The sequence below is a fragment of the Homo sapiens genome, chromosome 5 (assembly GCF_000001405.40).
Source record: "Homo sapiens chromosome 5, GRCh38.p14 Primary Assembly".
Classification (NCBI taxonomy): domain Eukaryota; kingdom Metazoa; phylum Chordata; class Mammalia; order Primates; family Hominidae; genus Homo; species Homo sapiens.
In genome coordinates, this window is record NC_000005.10 from 72,016,215 (window position 1) to 72,037,198 (window position 20,984).

A 20,984-nucleotide genomic window follows, 5' to 3' on the forward strand; every position below is an offset into this window, starting at 1 on the left:
ACCTCTGTGGATCTCTGCATTTCCTACACTGTGCCTATCAGTTTATTATCATTGTGCTATTTGTGTGATTTGGTGTCAATATTTGTTCCCCCCACAAGACTGTAAACTCCACTAGGGTAGTGTTTGTGTCTGGTTTTGCTTACAATGTCAGCAGGTGCTCAATAAATATTTGAATAAATAAGTGAATCAATTCAATGTGGAACAAGGAGGTGCCTATATGCATGTATATATGTATAAACAAACAAACAAATAAATACATAAATTAGTGATTTCTGCAAAAGATCTTACATCTCAGCCTCCAGTTTTGTTTTTCTTTTATCCCCTAGTACTGGGTGTCATTCTTTTAGTATCTTAGTTCCCGAACTTTATTAAGATACAAATGGTTGATGAAGCTTTGACATCCTTTTTTTGGACATCTGTGGCTGGTGCTTACTACCTGCACAGAAAGACAGATCCTGGAGCAGCTGGGCTTTATTTTGTGACGGCCCTAAAAGGGAATGTTTGTTTTCCCTTACCCCCATGTCCACTGTGGATCTGATTCTTCAAGGACGCCTCCCTGGAAGTTAGAGGGACATTTTAGGAGGCCCATTAAGTGGCAACACATAGGCTGGGGCTGAGTGCCCATAGGTCTGGGACCTTGTCTGTTCTGAAAGAAACCAGAGGCAAAGTACTGCTTGGTTTCCCCTCTTAGAAAAAGGGTCTCCACCTCTACTCTACAGACATGCAGCAGATATCTAGGACTTCAGGCAGAGCTTTCCTGATGAGGGAGTCCTCAGCTTAGCCCCACAGACCTCAGTTTCACATTCAGCTCCTACCCAAAGGGCATCTTTTAGAAGACCAGCACCTGGTTGCCACTCTAAATGAGTCTAGCCTTTGCACAGACTTCAGGAGCCCACTCTTCCGAACCCAGTATTCAGGCAGGAAGGAAACTATGAGAGTAATGGCACCCCTATCCCCAACTCTCTGGAGACAGGGAAGCATAGAAATGAAGTAAAGAAGGAAACTGAAAATAGAGTAAAAGATCACTGAATTTTCTTAGTACCCAAAGCTGGTTCCAAAGTCAGAGAAAGGAGCTGGAATATCTCCTGCATGCGTCTGAGTTGGGATCTAACCCTGTGACTCTGGCAACTCCCAGAGTTTTCTGAGTCCTGCATCCCATCAATTGGCTTAAAAGTTTCTCCTCATTTTCTGCCATTAAAGCCAAACCCCATGGGGGATGGGTTTCAGGGCTTATTGCTTGTATCACACTAACAATTTTTCTCTTCTAAAATGAGACACAAGTGTTGGCAAATAGATAGAGGATGCGGTGACCTGTGATGTTGCATTTTGGCACTAACTGCTGCGGACTGGGCTATTTTGGATGCACTTGGGGAAAGCTTAAAGAAAGTCTAGCCTATTAACATGGTCACCGAAGACAGAACAGTCTGGCTTTGTGAAAACATTAGCAGGATGGCACTAGCAGCCTGATTTTCAGGATGTAAGTAAACTTGATTTGTCAGAGTGACAATAGAGAGAGTCCAGAAAGAGTCCAGGCTTGACTTATTAAAAACATTTACTCTTAGGCCGGGCGCGTTGGCTCACACCTGTAATCCCAGCACTTTGGGAGGCCGAGGCGGGCGGAGAACGAGGTCAGGAGATCGAGACCATCCTGGCTAACACGGTGAAACCCCGTCTCTACTAAAAATACAAAAAAAATTAGACGGGCGTGGTAACGGGCGCCTGTACTCCCAGCTACCCAGGAGGCTGAGGCAGGAGAATGGCATGAACCCAGGAGGCGGAGCTTGCAGTGAGCCGAGATCACGCCACTGCACTCCAGCCTGGGCGACAGAGCGAGACTCTGTCTCAAACAAACAAACAAACAAACAAACACAAACACACACACACACACAAAAATTCATTTACTCTTGGTTTCCTTAACCACTTTCAGGGAGTAGAAGGTTCTAAGAGGAAATATAGACTTAATACCAAGTGCCTGATGTGGAGCAAATGAAGTTTATACTTGTTGTGAAGGGGTTGTTAGCCAAGCCTGGGGTCCCAGCATGCATGGAAACATCTGGACAACTGCTGTTAGACATCAGCAGGAAGTGCCAAAGAAGTGTGGACTGTATAGGATTTTTGCAGGCTAATGACAACACTGTCCCTCTAGTGGCAGGTACCTGAATTGCAGGCCCAGTGCCTTGGGACCAATCAGCACAAGGAAGACGTTATATCTCACAAATTCAAGTGTTACCACAGCCTACATTTTTATGGGACTTACCATTTTAAAAGTTCTTTCACATGCACTTTCTCTCTTGAGTCTCACAACAGCTCTGTGAAAAACAGGTGATATTTTATTTTACAGATGGGGATGTAAAGGATAAGGGTCCATGTAGCTCTTCATGGACTCAGGTCTCCTGACTTTCAATTTAAACCTCTTTCCCCTTCTGCCCATTGAAATTAGCTTGCTTGGTGTCCCATTCAGGTCTGAGATGTCTACAATGTGAAAATGAATGGTCTCTTGTCCAAGCACTGAATTGCTCCTTTTCAAGGTAATGGTTCTGGAAACTGTGACTTTAAAGAATGAGTTAAGGTTAAAGAGTTATGAGAAGAGTAATGAGAAGGTTAAAGAAATGCTTTAACCTTAAGAGATAAATGGTGACAATTTCAGATACTGTTGATGGCAATCGGAGGAGAGTTTCCCAACTTGAAAAGCCAAACCTTGGAAGCAGCCTCCTAGTCCTCTTCTGAGTGGGACGGGGGTTGGAAGTAAACTGAAGTTGTAAAGTCTAAAAGATACTCTTGCTCCTGCAATTTCTCTCCTATCTCTGAGCTGATGTGTGTTGTTCCTTTAGAAGGTGAAATGGCTTTTATTTAGTAACTGGGGCTCAGGCTTACAATGCAAATAACCCTTGGAGAAAGAATAGATTGGCTTTCATTTTTAGTAGGTTGGAAATTATTGATTTACTGAGAGCTATTTTGCTGGACTGTGGCAGGGGAAGGGGAGATTCAGAATGCCAAGTAGAGGCCAAGAATGGAGGACGGTGGCACAGAAGCCCGCTTCTGCAGGTGCCACCATGTTGACCTGCCTGCAGGACTTTCTTCTGGGGTGAAGCAGCCTCACTTGTCCCTCACCCTGCCACCCTCTCACCACAAGCCTAAGCTGCCCAGGTAGGGCTTCAGCCATTTAGCTTGCCTGGCCTGACTCCAGGGTGAACTCTGCATTCAGCTCTCAGCTCACCAGACTGCTTCACGCTCTTCTCTTTCATGGCTCCTTGGAGGGCCATTGAGGGAGAAGAGATGGCAGAGGAGGAAGCTGCTGCAAATTTCTCTGCATCCTCTTATGCTCCAGAGGTTATATCAGAGCTTTCTCTCCAGATCTTAAGGGAAATAAGATATTGAATTAGAGACACCGGAAGGCCCCATTTGATTGACATACAGAAAGAAGAACGGTTTTCTTGACAGAGAATGTGTAAGAGAGTGCACATCCATGAGTCTATCTCTGTGTAAGAAGAAAGAACAAAGAAAATGTTTTCAATACATTCCATCACCCTAAAATAAAAGTCACTAATATTGCAAGCATTCCCTCACGGGCACAGATACATCACACACACACACACACACGCACACACACACACACACACACACCACATCACATCCCTAATAGCTTTGACAATTTTCCTCCAGCCAATGAGCTCCTTGCTGGTATCTCATGAACTTTGTGCCACAGTTCTGGTCTCTCCCATGACCTAGAACAGACTGGAGAAGAAAGTGACCAGAAAAAAGCCTGGCCTTCTTCTCTATTGATTCATCTGGTGCCCAGGGCTGCACCACCAAGGGCTTTCACTCTCCTCAGGGCCCAGAGCACCAGCTGCTGCCCAGCTCAGATCAAGTAGTGAGTGAGGACAAAGCCTGGCCAGCTACCTGGAAAGAAAGTCCTTCCTGACGGCTGAATTGTCCTCATTTTTATGTATTAGGCTGGTGCAAAAGTATTTGCGGTTTTTGCAATTAAAAGTACTACCAAAAACCACAGTTACTTTCACACCAACCTAATACATAGCAAACCACTCCCCTAACTTTGGATGGACAATTGCTCTTTTTTATGTAATAAGATCCTTTTCAACTTCCAGCCACCAAGCTACAGACCTCCAGGAAAGGCAAAGGGCAAAATTGTGCAGTCTGTCCTTAGCTTGGCTCCCTGCTTCTGTGGGAAATTCCCAGAGGGGAGAGGAAAGGAACCTGGGAATCCCTTCTTCTGAAGACAGATTGCTGGTCTAGTGTTTACACCTCCAATGCCATTGTCCAGGGCTAGTCGGCAGGGTGGTGGGGGGAGCATGGGAGTGTGTGTTTGTAATACTCTGGTCTGATTTAAACTCCTTGAATCTCTATCAGTCATCTCATATATCCCAGGAGTAGCCCATAGTTAAGTGCTTAGGCAGAGGAAGGTGGGAAAAGGTTGCTTAGGCAGAAGAGGGGGAAAAGGAATGAAAACACTTAGAAGGAAAAGAAAGATGTGGGCAGCGGTTTGAATGAAAGAGAGTGAGGGAAATAAATTACTCTTCCAATGACAAGGGGGCACTAAATAGATGGGCTTGATCCCTGCAGTGAGGCAGCAAGCAGCTGCTCAGAGCATTCTGTAGCCAAGCCTGCTGCAGTCCAGAATGGAGGGGCTGAGGCTTGGTGTTCTGCTGGATAAGCAGGAGGAAAACCTTGAAAATTTGCTTGATTCCATCAAATGCTTTTGCTGATTAAAGGCTTAGAAACTGCCAGAGTTCCTAACGCCTGTCTCTCTCAAACTAGCATGGTACAGGAGACCAAGCAGATAGTGATCTGAATTCGAAGGGAATATGAGAGATGGTGACCTGAAATCTCACCCAGCAGACGCCCCAGAGCTGGGGTCTGCCACTCTCTTGGAGAGGCTGAGGTCCTGGAATCTGGTGAGGGAATGGGGTGCAGGCTGAGTCCCAAGGCATAGGTGAGAGACATAGAACCACCAACTGATATTAAAATAACATTCTGCTTTGAGTGGAATCACTGTTTGCTGTGAGCTGCAAAAGGAAGACAAACACATCTTCTCTGAAGCTCGTGCTGATCCATGGGTGGCCTCTTGGGCAGGCAGAGTGAGAAGGGAAGACAGGAGGAACAGTCCAGCAAGCTGAAGTGACACAGCCTTCCTGCCAGAAAATCAACACCCTACCTCTTTGTCAGGGTCCTGGGCTTGGGCTGATGGCCGAAGCTCCTCTTGGGAGGAAAGTGATTCTTCCAGCTGAGAGGTTGGATTCTGGGAGGCACAGAAAAGATTCTACCACCCAATGAGCAGCCCCCGCACCTACTCTGAGGAAGGGCCAGAACACACAGGCCCCCTTGAATCTGGAGCAAACCTCTATACTGGAGGGAGCCCTGAGGGTCTCAAATGAGAAAACAGGTCCTTTCTTTGTACCCAGGTATCCCTTTATTCCTAGGGATAGTGTTTCTCTCAAGAAGATAGAATCTGGAAAAATATATTACCTGGAGACTATAAAATCCTAGATCAGAAGGCGGCTGTGGGCCCCTAAGCCCATCCTCCTCATTTACAGATGAAGAAACAGAGGCCAGGGGCCCACACTTAGCAGAACCTGGATGACAGCACAGATTTCCTCATTCCTATCCAGCCCTCAAAGCGCCTCACCCTGCCGCCTCCACTTTGTGTTCCTGCAGGAACTCCCAGCCAGTCCACCATGCACACATATTTTTTAAATAGACCTTATTTTTTATTTATTTCTTTTGTAACTTTTATTTTAGGTTCGGGGCACACGTGTGGGTTTGTTACACAGGTACATTGCGTGTCACAGGGGTTTGGGGCACAGGTGGTTTCATTACCCAGGTAATAAGCATAGTACTTGATAGGTAGTTTTTTTTATCCTCACCATCCTCCCACTCTCCACCCTCAAGTAGGCCCTGGTGTTTACTATTCCCTTCTTTGTGTCCATGTGCACTCAGTGTTTAGTTTTCACTTATAAGTGAGAACACGCAGTGTTTGGTTTTCTGTTCCTGTATTAGTTTGCTTAGTATAATGGCCTCCAGCTTCACCCATGTTCCTACAAAGGACATGATCTCATTCAGGATCTCAGCGGTTTTAGGTTCATAGCAAAATTGAGGAGAATGTACAGAGATTTCCCATATATTCCTTGCCCTAGCACATGCATAGCCTCCCCAGTTTGTCAACATTCCGCACCAGAATGGTACCTTTGCTACAATGGATGAGCCTACTTTGACACACCAGTATCACTCAAAGTCCATAGTTTACATTAAGGTTCACTCTTGGAGTTGTACATTCTGTAGGTTTGGGCAAATGTTTAATGATGTGTATAACCCATTATAGTATCATGCACAGGAGTTTGCCCTAAAAAATCCTCACATAAACAATTTTCATGGCAATTCCAATAACCAAGAACTAATCACAAGGCTTAATTGCCATAAGCGTGGGGATCCCTCTCTGGTGAACAACTGGCTGGGTGCTCACTGGCTTGAAGACATTTCCCTGCCCCATATTCCTTGTTGCTGGCACCCAGAATGGAAGTGTTTCAGTATATTCAGGTCCAGCATTAGGATGTGGGCACCTCAGACTGACAGATAGGACCAGGCAGAACCAAGCTGTGATATGTAGAGTTGACATTGTAGACAAGCTCCTGCTTCCACCCCAAAGGCTCCCTCTTCCTCCAACACACACACTTCCTCTATCCTTTCTTCTAGCTCAGCAAACTTCTTTCTATCCTTCCTAACACATCCAGTGCCCTTGCATTATATTCTCTTCTGACTGTCAAAAAATGGGACCAGGAAGGAGTTCAAGGCCAATTATTTGCTATTCAGTGTCAGTTGAGGTCTTTCCCTTTCCCTTTCCAGAGGCATTTGTAACACAGGCTTTAGCTCTTCTTATGTAATGAAAATTTTTGTTTTAGAAAGTTTGGATTTCTAAAAGGAGGTGGAAAGAATAAGGCCCTTCCCAGAGTCCTTGAAATCATCTCAAATAGCACCTACTTCTCCTACTTTGCATAGCTCAGGTTCTGGCCTCCTTTCAGCCAGAGACAATGGTGGAGAGCCAACACAGGATTTGAATAGAGAGGAGGATTTGAACTGGAAATAAATAGTCATTTGGAACAAAAGCTAAAGTTTTATTTTTCCAAAATATAAAACAAGTGAGAACTAGATAGACCCCTGGCTCTCAATGCTGTCATGCAGATGTGCTGGTATTAGATAAAAGAGTGCGGGAAAGTCCTGGATTCTGGTTCTGGGTCTACGTGCAAGTAGCTGGATGACATTGCAAATAACTATTTCTCTGAGCCTTGATTTCTTCTTTTCAAAAATGTTCCCACTGCAATATTCTGTATAGTTCAGAGGAGAAACAAAAAGCAAACCAGATGAATCCAGGCTGCCAGACTTTTCATATTCCCTGCTTTCAACAAAGGTGATTACAGTGGCTTGGAGAAGCTGTTTTCATCAAACCTTGGCCTGACCTATCTCAAGAAGAAGGCGCTAGTGGCCAACAGATTGCAAACACCACTATGACAAAGAACCCCTCTCCATTTTAAAAGGAAAGCATATTGATTTTTGGAATAGCCATTTCCTAGTATATGTAACTTTGAGCCAAACCAATGAAATTTATGAGGACTCAGCTTAATCTTATAACATTTTAAGATCAATAACAGCTGCCTGGAAGAACCTGACCATTATGGTGGTTGAAAAAGGCAGATACGAGAATATTGCAACTGTTAAAGCAAGTTGTATAACAGAGGAGAGATCTGAGCTGCTGTATCTTGTGGAAAGCACCTAGGCCTGAAACTAAAGTTAGGACTGTAAGGTACAACTTCTGGTTCTGATGCCAATCATAGATAAGCATCATCACTAAGAGAGGAACCATATTTATACTTGCTGACTATTGTAACCAGTACTTGGCTCATACTAGATACTCAATAAATATTATTTGAATCAACGTCTTGCAATGTTCCTTAATCATTGAGCCTCAGCTGTCCTTTATTATTCACTCTTTCATTTGATTCTTTCTTCAGTTCCCCTACCACCACCTCCTTGTATAGGTCGCCATTATCTTTGCCTAGATTGTTGCAGTAGACTCCTAACATTCTCATTGCCTTGGTCTTGCCCCCATCTAATCTGTTCTCCACACTGCAGCCAGAGTAATCCTTCTGAAAGGATACTCAATATTTAAAAGCCAGTCTTCTACATTGTAAAATGTATTAGCATAAAATTGTTCATAATATAATCTTATTTTCTTTCATATCTGTAGTGTCTATAGTAATGTCTCTTTGTTTAATAGCCCAACACATGGTATTTAATAAATATTCCATATGAACTTGAGAAGAATGTATTCTGAAGTTGTTTGATGCAATGTTCAATTAAGTTGTCTAATCATATTGTTCAAGCTTCTATTTCCTTAATAATTTTTTCTTTTCGTTCTATGAGGTATGTTAAAATCTTCAGTTATGATTATACATTTGTCTGTTTCTTTTAATCTATCAACTTTTGCTAAAGCAAAAGCTAAAGCTAAAACAAAAGCTAAAGCTAAAGCAAAAAGCATACTTTGAAGCTGTTATTCATTTTATACAACTTAAAACCATTAAATCTTTCTGTTGGACTTACCTTTTTGCCATAATAAAAATTTATGACAAAAGGGTAAATTCTCTTTTCTTTATTATATTAATCTAGAGAGTTAGTTACGAATTTTATTAATATTATGACCTCTAGTAATATTTCTTGACTAAAGTCTTTTTTTGGTCTGAAATTAATATAGCTACACCAGTCTTTGCTTTGCATGGTATATCTTTTTCCATCTTTTTACTGTCAGTCTTTCTGTATCCTTATATGTAAAGTTTATCTTCTATAAACATATTTAATTGGGTTTTACTTTTTAATAACTGTTAAAAATTTTCTTTAAGTTCAGTGCTCAGTCTATTTACAATTACTGTAAGTACTGATATATTTGGATTTAAGTGTATATCTTTGTGGCAATAAATGTGACAATTTAGGGAAATGTACAAGTTCCTTGAAAAGCAAAACTTTCTAAAATTAATAGAAAAATAAGTAGAATATTTCCTTATCTGATAAATAATTTGGATTTCTAGTTAAAAACACTCTTACAAAAAAATTTCAGGATTAAATGACTTTACAAATGAATTCTTCCAAATTTTTATTTTAAAAAATAATACTATTCTTACACAAACTCTTCTGAGAAAGAAAAAGAAAAAATAATGAATAATTCTCAACTTGTTTAATAAAACTAGCATTACTTTCATTAGGTGAATGCCTCAGAATGACATTTCAAGAAAAAAAAATCACAGACCAATCTTATGTATGAACATAGATGGAAAAATCCTAAACAAAACTTTGGTAAATTAAACCAAGTGATATATAAAAAGATAACACATAATGGTTATATTCCAATAATGTAAGGTTGATTTAACATTCAAAAATCAATGTAGTTCACCATATTAATAGAATAATGGAAAAAATCACATAATTATCTCAGTAGTGTAGGAAAAAGGATTTGACAAGACATTCATTCTTGATAAAAATTATCAGCAAACTAAGATTAAAAGGAAATGTTCTATAGCAAATATATTTAATAATAAAATATTACGTGCTTATCCCTGAGTTCAGCAGCAAAGCAAAGATGTTCACCATCACCACTGTCACTAATATGCTACTGTAGATCCAAGCCAGTACAATAAGCTTAGCAAAAAGGAGGTATAAAAATTGAAAAGGAAAAAATAAAACAAACATTATTTACAGACTACATGATTGTATACATAAATAATTCAAAAGAATCAATAGAAAAACTATTAAAAATAATAAATAATTTAACGATATCACTCTACACAAGGTCAAGAGATAGAAATCACTTATATATACTAGCAACAAACAATCAGAAAATGAAAAAAATTTCAAATGTTCATTTCATAATAGCATAAAATACCCCAATTGTTTAGTGATAAAACTAACATAAGATGCACAAAATCTATAAAACATTATTCAGAGACATTTTTAAGCTGTAAATCAATGGGTTAATATACCAAGTTCATAGATTGGAAGACATATATACTTTCAATATTATTATTATTAAGATGTCAATTTTTTTCCAAATTGATCTACAGAGAAAATGCAATCTCATTCTAAACCCCAGTAGGTTTTTTTTGTAGAAATTACCAGAATTCTAAAATTTACATAGAAATGCACAGAATATAGTCAAAACCATTTCGACTATATAGTAGTCAAAACCATTTTGAAAGACAAAGAACATATTTGGAAGACTTACATTTCATGATTTTGAGACTTACTATAAAATTATAGCAATCAATTCAGTGTGGTATTGGCATAAGGATCAACAAATTGCTCAATGAAACCCAGTAGAGTTCATGGATAGATCTGCACATATATGGCCAGTTGATTTTTTGACAAAAGCTTCAAGAAAATTCAATGTGGAATTCTAACTAATTGTGCAGAAACAACATGATATCTATATGAAAAAACAGAATCTAAATTCCTATTGCAAACTATTACAAAAGTTTAAGATAGTTCATAAATCTAAATGCAAAAAAGAAAACATAAAACTTCCAGAAAAAAACAAAGAATTCCATATCTGTATGTTAAGCAATAATTTCTTAGACAAAGCCAGAAAACACTTAGTATAGGAAAAAAATTGATACATTATAACTCTTCCTTCTGCTCTTCAAATGTACTATTAAGAAAATGAAAAGGCAAGTCACAGATTGTAAACAAATATTTGCAATAAATATATCTGGCAGAGGATGTGTGTCCAGAATACATAAACAACTCTTTAATAACCATGAAAAGCAAACAACCCTATTTTTTAATGGGCAAAAGACATGAACAGACATTTAACAAAATATATATAAATGGCCAGTAAACAGATTCTCAACATCATTAGTCATTAGGAAAATGCAATCTCAAACCGCAAGATATGACTTCACACCCAGTAAAATAGCTAAAATTTAAGACAGACAAGACCAGGGGTTGATGAGAATGTGGAAAAATAAGAACTCTCTAAATTGTTGGTAGAAGTATAAAACGGCACAGCCATTTTGGGATACATTTTCCAGTTGCCACTAAAAGCACACTTACATATACCCTATAACCTGCAATTCCACTCCTGGGTATTTACCCTACAGAAATGAGCACATACACCCACTAAAGATGTGTGCAAGAATATTTATAACAGCTTTATTAATAATTGGCAAAATCTGGACTCAATCCAAACACCTGTTAACAGATCAATGAATAAACAAATTGAAATATGGTCTTACAATGAAATATTACACAACAATGAAAAGAAAAAAAAGTACAGCAAAAACAAAGATGAATCTTGCAGACATAAAGTTGAATGAAAAAACTAGACTCAACAAAGAACGTACTGTATAATTCCATTTATATGAAGTTCAAAAAGAGGCAAAACCAATTCATGGTGAGAGATTTTTCGAATAGTGGTCACTTTAGTAGAAGGCACGAGGAAGCCTTCTGAGACTTGATTTGGGTGGTGTGTACATGGTGTATATATACTTAAAAATTAAGTGGTACACTTTAGATAGGATGAACAACTTGGCCTGGATTATCTGGAACTGTCTAACTTTAGTCAAACTTTAGATTTGTGCACTTTCTCACATGTATGCTATTCCTTAATTTTTACAAATCTGGAAAAGAAGAAATTTCAATAGGAAGAATAAAAAAGGTTTTCAACAGCTCTCCACTGCTCTCAGGACAAAGTCCAAACTCCTCCTCACAGCAAGTAAGTTTTTGCGGTGTGGCCCCCTTGTGACTCTTCAGTTTCACATTCTGCCTCACTTGGTGCACTCTCTCCTCCAGCTCCACTGATGGCTGGCAGCTCCCTGTACATGCCATGCACCCCCCTCTCTTTTTTAATTGACAAATAAAAATTGTATATGTTTATGGTGTACAATCTCATGCTTTCAAATATGCAAATAATGTAGAATGGTTAAATCCAGCTAACGAACTTATGCCTCATCTCACATGCTTATTTGTTTGCGGTGAGAACACTTAAAATCTACTGTCTTCACAATTTTCAAGAATACAATACATTGTTACTAAATATAGTGACTACGTTGTACAATAGATCTCTTGAACTTATTCTTCCTATCTAACTGAAATTTTGTGTCCTTTGACCAATATCTCCCAATCCCTCCCTCCCACCTCAGACTCTGGTAACCATCATTCTACACTTTCTACTTATACAAGATCAACTTTTTAGATTCCACATATGAAGGAGACCATATGATATTTGTCTTTCTGTGCCTGGCTTATTTCATTCAACATAATGTCCTCCGGGTTCATCCATGTTGTCATGTGTTGCAGAATGTCTTCTTTTTCAAGGCTGAATAGTATTCCATTGTGCATATGTACCAGATTTTCTTTATCTATTCATCTGTTGATGGACACTTAAGTTGATTCCATATTTTGGCTATAGTGAATAGGGCTGTAATGAACATGGGAGTACAGAACTTTCTTTGACATACTGATTTCATTTCCTTTGGATATATGCTCAGTAGTGGATCATAGGGTGGTTCTATTTTTAATTTTTTGAGGCACCTCCATACTGTTTTCCATAAATTGGCTCTACCAATTTACATTCTCACCAACAGTGTGCAAATCTGCCATCATTTTCTTCACATCTCTGCCATTATTTATGTTTCCTTTGCTAATAGCTATTCTAACAGGTGTGAGGTGATATCTCTCTGTAGTCTTAATCTGCATTTCCCTGATGATCAGTTATGTTGAACATTTTTTCATATATTCATATATCTGTTGGCCGTTTTTATTCTTTTGAGAAATGTCTATTCAGGTCCTTCATCCATTTTTAATTGGATTGTTTTCTCGTTGTTGCATTATTTGAGTACCTTATGCCTTTTGGATATTAGCCCCTTATCAGACGTATGGTTTGAAAATATTTTCTCTTATTTCATAGGTGTCTTTTCACTCTGCTGATTGTTTCCTTTGCCGTGCAGAAGCATTTTAGTTGGATGTAATCCCATCTGTCTATTTTTGCTTTTTATTGCCTGCCATGTCCTTTCTTGCATAGGCTAGTCCATCAGCCCAGAAACCTTTTGTTCTAGCTTTTCCCAGCTAGTTCAAATTCATCCTTCAAAACTCAGCTTGAGTATCATCAACTATAGGAAGCTTTCCCTGAGACATATCCAAGGTTTGGGATATCCTATAGCACATGTGAAAATGGTCAGTTAAGTATTTATTCCTTTATTCAATAAAACGTTATATTAAACTCCTAAAAAGGTACCAGGAAGTACACAGCCCTATAGGGTCTAACAGGGCTATTAGACACAGAAACAAACCTTGGCAGAAAAATGCAGATGCACCATTTCACCTATTCCAGGCCTGCAGGGATAAGAGGGCTTTTGACGGCCTTTGGAGAGGAAGAAATAATACCTACAAAATAACTTATTCTAACCTCTTTCAACTACTTGTTATCTACACTGATCAAAAGAAGAGATTATTTTCTTTGAGTAATCTTTTAAATAGTTGCATTTTCTTGCTTTTCTACTTTTTAATAACATCCAGAGAAGACAGTGATATTTAGCAACAGTAAATTTTCCAAGGGCTATAACTGGTTTGTGTAATTTACAAGCTGCCTGAGTATTGAGGGTTAGTTAGGATTCTCACACCAGACTACATGGTTTTGTATCCCCATCGACCACTTATGAGCTTTGGGGCCTTGGCCAAACACTTAAACTCTGTAATCCTCAGTTTCTTCACCTGCAAAATTGGAATAACAACAGTAGTTACCTCAAATTGTGCTGTAAGGATTAAGTGAATCAGTGTACATAAAAAGCTTAGAATGGTGGCTCACAGACATGGTGTCAGCACTCCAAAAGGGTAGCCATTTTACGTGGAATATGTAAAAAAAACTAGGTAACATTACAGATACTTCTCCACTCATCATTACCCCATATCTCCCCACCTGTCCTCAGCCCCAGGCTCACATTTCTCACAGCCTATTGGATGTTATCATCTGACTTCTGACTAAAATGTGAGTGACTCAAACTCAATAGCCATGAATCCCAGATCTCTTCTTTGACTTGTGCTGATTATCTGTTACCTAGCTTAAAAACATCCAGATCATTTCTTCGTACCACCATCTTCCATATCCATTATTCAGCAAGTCCTGACAATTCTCGATTTCTCACAGCCATTTCTTCCTCCTCTTCTTCTTCTTCTCCTTCCTCTTCCTCCTCCTCTTCCTCCTCCTCCTCCTCCTTCTTCTTCCTCTTCCTCCTTCTCCTTCTCTTCCTCCTCCTCCTCTTCATCTTACTCTTCCTCCTCCTTCTCCTTCTTTTTCTGTTTCTTCTTTTTTTCTTATTTCTACTGCCTCGTCCAGAAATAGAATTTTAGCTAATCACTCATTTGGGTTTCTCCATGGCGTCTTAAATCACTCTCCCCTAACTCAGACTGATCTTTCTAGAACATTCCTTGATCCCATACTCTCTTGCTTAAAAATCTTTAGTGGCACCTAATTGTTTCCGGCAATCAGTCAGACTCCACAGTCTGACATCAATGCTCACCACAATCTGACCCAAAACCTACCCTTTCACATCAATTTCTTTTATCTTCCACACAAAATTTCTCTGTCAAGTTGTATACCAATTTACGGCACTGACTAATAAACCAAGCTGGAACTAGGGCTAAGGCCTGAGGCCTGCAAGGGACCTCTTCCTTCTCTAAGCCCAAACTAAAAGCTTAGCAACAGGCCAGGCACGGTGGCTCATGCCTGTAATCCCAGCACCTTGGGAGGCTGAGGTGGGCAGATCACTTGAGGCTAGGAGTTAGAGATCAGCCTGGACAACATGGTGAAACCCCATCTCTACTAAAAATATAAAAATTAGCCAGGTGTGGTGGTGCATGCCTATAATCCCAGCTACTTGGGAAGCTGAAGCACAAGAATCACTTGGACCTGAGAGGCAGAGTTTGCAGTGAGCTGAGAGCATGCCACTGCACTCCAGCCTGGGCAACAGAGCAAGACTCTGTCTCAAAAAAAAAAAAAAAAAAAAAAAAAAAGAAAGAAAAGAAAAAATGAAGAAAAGCTTAGCAATTGTCACCATTGACCTAATGTGAATGAGGCAGAGTACCCAAATGCCAAATACCAAAGAGAAATGAAAGCAGGCAAGATGGGTCTTCCCAAGCCCAGGCCATCTGTGACCTGCCCATCCAGCCACCTGGAGAGACAAGGTAGAAGAGAGTGCCACATCCCAAGGCATCAACTATTAAGAGTTACAATGTTCCTACCCATCAACAAAGCCTGGACTTGTTATTGTCCTGGAATCTGACCAAACAGATGTGTCAGTGCTCCCAGAGTGGAAGGAACAAAGTGGAGCTCTGGTATCTCCTCTCACCTGAGGCTTCAGCGTTACAATGCTTCCCACCTCTTGACCCTTGCTCATATTGCTAACCCTGCCTTGAATAGCCTCCCCACTTTTGCCTGTTGAAACTTATCCTTCAAGATCCAGAACAACATTCTGCTTCCTGATCACCTTACTTCAATCTCATTTCTTCTAAATTCTAACAGTATTGACTATACTTCTAATTTGCTACTTATCATCTCCTGCCTCCTGCTTTGCATTATTGGCTGTGCTTTCTTTTTTTTTGAGAAGAAGTCTTGCTCCGTCGCCCAGGCTGGAGTGCAGTGGCGTGATCTCAGCTCACTGCAACCTCTGCCTCCTGGGTTTAAGTGCTTCTCCTGCGTCAGCCTCCCGAATAGCTGAGATTACAGGCACCCGATTGGCTCTGCTTTCTTGGGTATGTATATATTTACTCTTTTTTTTTTTTTGTATTTTTAGTAGAGACGGGGTTTCACTGTGTTAGCCAGGATGTTCTTGATCTCTTGACCTCGTGATCCGCCTGCTTCGGCCTCCCAAAGTGCTGGGACTACAGGCATGAGCCACCACGCCCGGCCTTACATATATTTACTCTTAACTGCACTGACAACTTTTTAAACTATAGATCGGGTCCCCAGTGTAAGTCTGGGGATATCAATTAAGATTCCCCTGTCTAATTTTTGACACTAATACCAACTACGCTTAATAAATGTGTTGATGAGTTTAATGTTTTATGCATTAGATAGATTTCAGTATGAAAGAGATCTAAAGATATGGGTAACATAGAAGAGCGTTCATTACTGCCATCCTTATAATGGCAAAAAAAAAAAAAGGAAAATAACCAAGTGTCCATTAACAAGATAATGGATAAATTAAAATATATTAAAAACACTGTACTGATGAAAATAACAAACTAGATTTATATGTATCAACAGGGATAAATCTAAAAACCTAGTACTCAATGAAAAGGGCATATTTTAGAGCTATAATCTTCCATGTATACAAATTTTAAAAAGTACAGATAAAATAATATATTCTGTAAATGAGTCCATGAAAAAACTGGCTGAAATAAATGAATCAAACTCAAGTTAAAAGTGGTCTCTAGAGAGAAAGAAATGGCCAGAGTCTTCAAACATTTTTTTATAATTTTTATTTTATTAACTGAAGTAAAACCAGCAGTATGAGAACAAGAGTGCTCATTATATTGTTCTTTGCCTTTTTCTGTATTTTTAAAGCTTCTCAAAACGAAGAGAAACAAACACAAAGATACCATTTGCTGCAGCCCTGGTCCTCCAGCGGGTGTGCTATTATTCTCCCTATTGTGTAAATATAAAGGTCAAGGAAGAGGGGAGGTGCTGAAGCTGTATGGGAGCTAAGGCATGGCCTGGGGATTGTCGCTAATGAAGGTTCACTAATTCCTTTAAAATGAAGGTTCACTAATTCCTTTAAATCAGCTGGTTTTCTTCAGATTTTCCTCTTTTTTTCTGCATGAAATGAGGGGCGAGGGGAAGAAAAAAAAAACCTTTCCTGTTGCCTGGTTACAGTTAAATGAGATTATTAAATGTTGTTTTACAACCTACTATAAAGACACGTCTCATTCTTTGTCCCTCTTTTGGATTGATGCTGTTGCCAGCAAGGGTCTGTATGTGCCTTGCACACTGTGTACAATAATAATAATAGAATCATAACAATAGCTAACAATTTTCAAGAGCTTACTCTGTGCTGGGCACTATGGTAAGTATATACAGCTTTATATACAGCTTTGTATCAGTATGAATACTTTCAGCTGCAAATATCATAAAACCCTATTCAAATGGAGTTACATAGTAAAGAACGCATTACAACACATAACTTGGAGTCTAGAGATTGGTAACTTTCACTGATTCATGCAGAGCCTCAATGATATTGACCGAGTTCTGACATTCCTTCTGCCTTTCTGTCCTATGCTTTGCAGATGCCAGTAGAAGAAGCTGGGGCTTTGTGCTTCCATACGCTTGTCTAATAGGAGAGACCCACATTGGTTCAGGTCTGCCCATACCTAGCAATTCACTGTGGAGGAGATGGAGTTTCTTATTCACTGGTTAAAGCCTTATACAGCTACAGCAGAGTGGGTGCTGGGAAGAGGACACTATGCCCACCACAGATATGTCCTTATTAATCCTCTTAATGCTCTCATGAAGTAAACACTATTATGATCTGCATTTCACAGATGGAAAAACAAGACACCAAGAGGTTAAGTGGTTTTACCAAGGATACGTGGCTTGTTAAGTGCCAAGCTCTCCATGGCATATTATGCTGCCTTCCAAGTGCCTTAGGCTGTGTGTTGACTGGGTAAGAAACGAAGATGTCCACCCTGTGGTCCACTTAAACCCTGAGGCGATGGTGGGTTACTGGCCATCTCCAGGCCTCCATGGCTCCCATCCTTCTACTCCTGAATCTCCTTTTCCTTTTCACTGACACCATCTTTTCTTCCTTCAGGGCATCCTCTCTGCAATCATGGCTGTGAGTGATAGGTGGACTTGCCAACTCCCTGATTACCTGCCATCCATGGAAAGTCAACACCTAAATATGTTGTCTTATACTACTAGATAATATATGACTATTATACTGCAAATAATCTTTTTGAAGCAAATTATAGGAATAAATTGAGACTAAGAACAATAATAAACTTGGGAAATTTACAAAGGCAACAAAATCTAACAGTTCTCTCAGACATTGAGCTGGATTTTTTCCCCAGCAAGTAGGCCTGGGGGCTTACACCAGGGGAATGGCGAGAGGCACCCTGAAGCTTGCGTCTCTCTATCTTAAGGGTCCATCTCAGGGCTCCTCTCCACTCCAGGGTGACCTCCTTACGAGGATGTCCTCAAAGCACTCACTTGTTGTCTGTCTCATCTCTGTCCTCTTTGAAAATGCTGCCACCCCTGTGGAAGTCCAGCTTTCTGGAGGGGATCGTTGATTCCCAGTGGTAGCTGTGCACCATATTCTGGGACCCCAACTCAGGCACACAGAATCAGGGTGCACGAGTCAGCCAGAATTTTATATGAGCAAGTGAGGACGTGCAGAAAAATGTGCAGATGAATCATCTACTAAATGGATCTTGTGGAAGTGCAGATTCTTCATTTCTAATAAGCTCTCAGGTGATACTAATGCTACTGGTTCAAGGCCCACACTGGGAATGGCAGGGGCGTAGATGCTGTAAATGCTGGCTGTAGGTCAGCCACCCCACTGTGAACACTACTATTGTGTTTGGGGCTTGTGGTCAAGGAAGCAGCATGTCCTCCTGGGAGCCTGCTAGGTAAACAGGCCATCCATTTTGGTCTGGCTTGATGTTTGGTTGTCACAGGCTGCCAGAGATGAGTAATTCCCTCATCTCCTCAAAGCCCTGAGAGACCAGTCCCAAAGGATGCTAGCTGGAGGAAGACAGATTTCCTCTTAATATGAAGGCTAGCTCTCAGTGCAGACAGCTCCCCAGGCCTGGGTACAGCCAAGCAGAGCCACGCTTGATGAGGGAGGGACAGATTTGGGGGAGAGCGGATTGGACTCGGAATTGTGAAGGCTCCCCTCTACCCCTGAGGCTCTATAAACCATAATTCAAGGGCAGGCTCCTCAACAGAAAATAATGATGAGTCAGAGCTTCTTGCCTTCTCAACAACCTTCCATTCCACCAAATTATTCAAAGTGATTTGTACCAGAGACCCAGATTGTCATTCTAGCCCTGTTTGTTTCGCATTTGCATTTTCTCTCTCAAAATAAAGCCCCTCCTCCTCCTTCTTTCAAAGGTCACAATGGGTTAACATCATCAATACAGCAGCAGAAGAGAAAGTGCAGTTTTAATGTGAGAAAGAAAATATTGACAGGTTTATGCAAGAGACGTAATTAACTCTATGCTCTGATGATCTGCCAGCACATCTTTCTTTCCTTCCAAACTTGTGCACTTCCATAACTCTTAAACATCCTGCTTCAGCCTTGAAAGGTAAAATATATACATATACTTTGACTCTGAGAAAATAGCCTAATCATGTGCAATTTAAATTTGGTACCTTCTTTAAAAGATAACCCAATACAGATGCGGTGGGTAATAAGCCACTTTGTACTGACTCCAACCCTCACACCCTCCATCCTCTCCTTCTGACAATCCAGCTTTCTTAAATGCTTCCTGTCTCAGCAAAGGTCAAATATTAAAAGTCAGAGAGCTCAGAAATACAAATGAACACTATCTAAGCCTCAGCAACAGAGGCTCTTTGAGAAAGACGATGCAAACACCAAAGAGTGTAAGAAAAAGCATGAAAGAAGCAGCATCACTTGTAATCAGTAGCAAGCTCTGAAGCCTGTCTGTCCCTTTTAGATGCTTCACACTTTATTATTAATCCACCAGTGACAGCAGAGCTTGGTTAGGAGGGACATCTTTCATCTCTGATCCTCTCCCTGACAACTAAAATAGGGTGAGCACATTTGCATAACAGAAGAAAGGGACAGATTGCCACTCCAGAAGGACCCGCAGGACACCTGTCAGAAATATTAAAAAGCAGGATAATCTCACAAAATATGAAATGCTTCATGTATCGGTCTGGAGAGAGTTGATGGAAAGGCTACCATGGAAAGAAATAAAATGTGGGCTCTGTCCCATCTCCAAACCCTCATCTTGTGAATGACTTGGAGTCTATTCAGCATCCTGAAGTCCTCTCTCTCTGTCCTTTGTCCCACCCATTGAAAATACTTCCAGGCTGCTATCTTTTGTTACATAACACAAGAACAGTTGAGTTAGGGGAGCTCAGGAACAATTTTCTTGGCTCTCTTCCCCACCTGAGCCAGAACATCATACCCTCCACTCCCAACACACTCCTGACCTTCACCCACCCCATCCATCTCACCTCCAGTAGGAGAACCTTGCCTGCTTATAGGGCTCTGGGAGATGTGCTCCTGTTCTCGGGTCACATTCAGACCACATAAAGACATTATTTTCAGTAGACAGAACTAAAACTGCAATTAGAACAGTATTCCAATTCAGGCCCACTGTGAGCTAAACAGGCATTCATGGCAGCCTGTGTATTACATTGTTTCTTAAAAAATGCAATCCAGGTAAACAAACCAATTTTGGGAATGTGGCTCCTTTGGTCAACTGCATCCAAGAAAGGTAAAGTTACGTCTCCCCAAAAGACTCTGCAATCTAAAGGAAACAGAGCAGGAGAATGGTGGAGCGATGGGGAATTGTTTGGGCATGGCCAAGGGAAACACAAGCCTTAACATTTTGTTGTGTTGAACTGGCTGTGGTCCACGGCCCTCGCTGCTAAACAGGACAATGGATCAGGGATTAAATTTCCTGTGCCCACTCTCAGAGAGGGGACATTTTTGCAATCCCCCAAAGATGTTTTGGCCTACAGAGACAAACAACTGGAAAGAATTGCAGCACTTGTGGGGAGGGGAAGGAGTGCAGAAGATGACAAGAGCTTTAAAAGGGATGCCCTAAAAGAACAGCAAAACAGATCACCCTGCACCCTCAGCAGCTCCAGGCAGCCAATCAAGGAGGAGAAGCCGGAAGAGTCTGAGCTTGCGAGGTGGGAGCTGCCCAGAGCTGCCTGCCTGTGACTCAGGATGGAATTT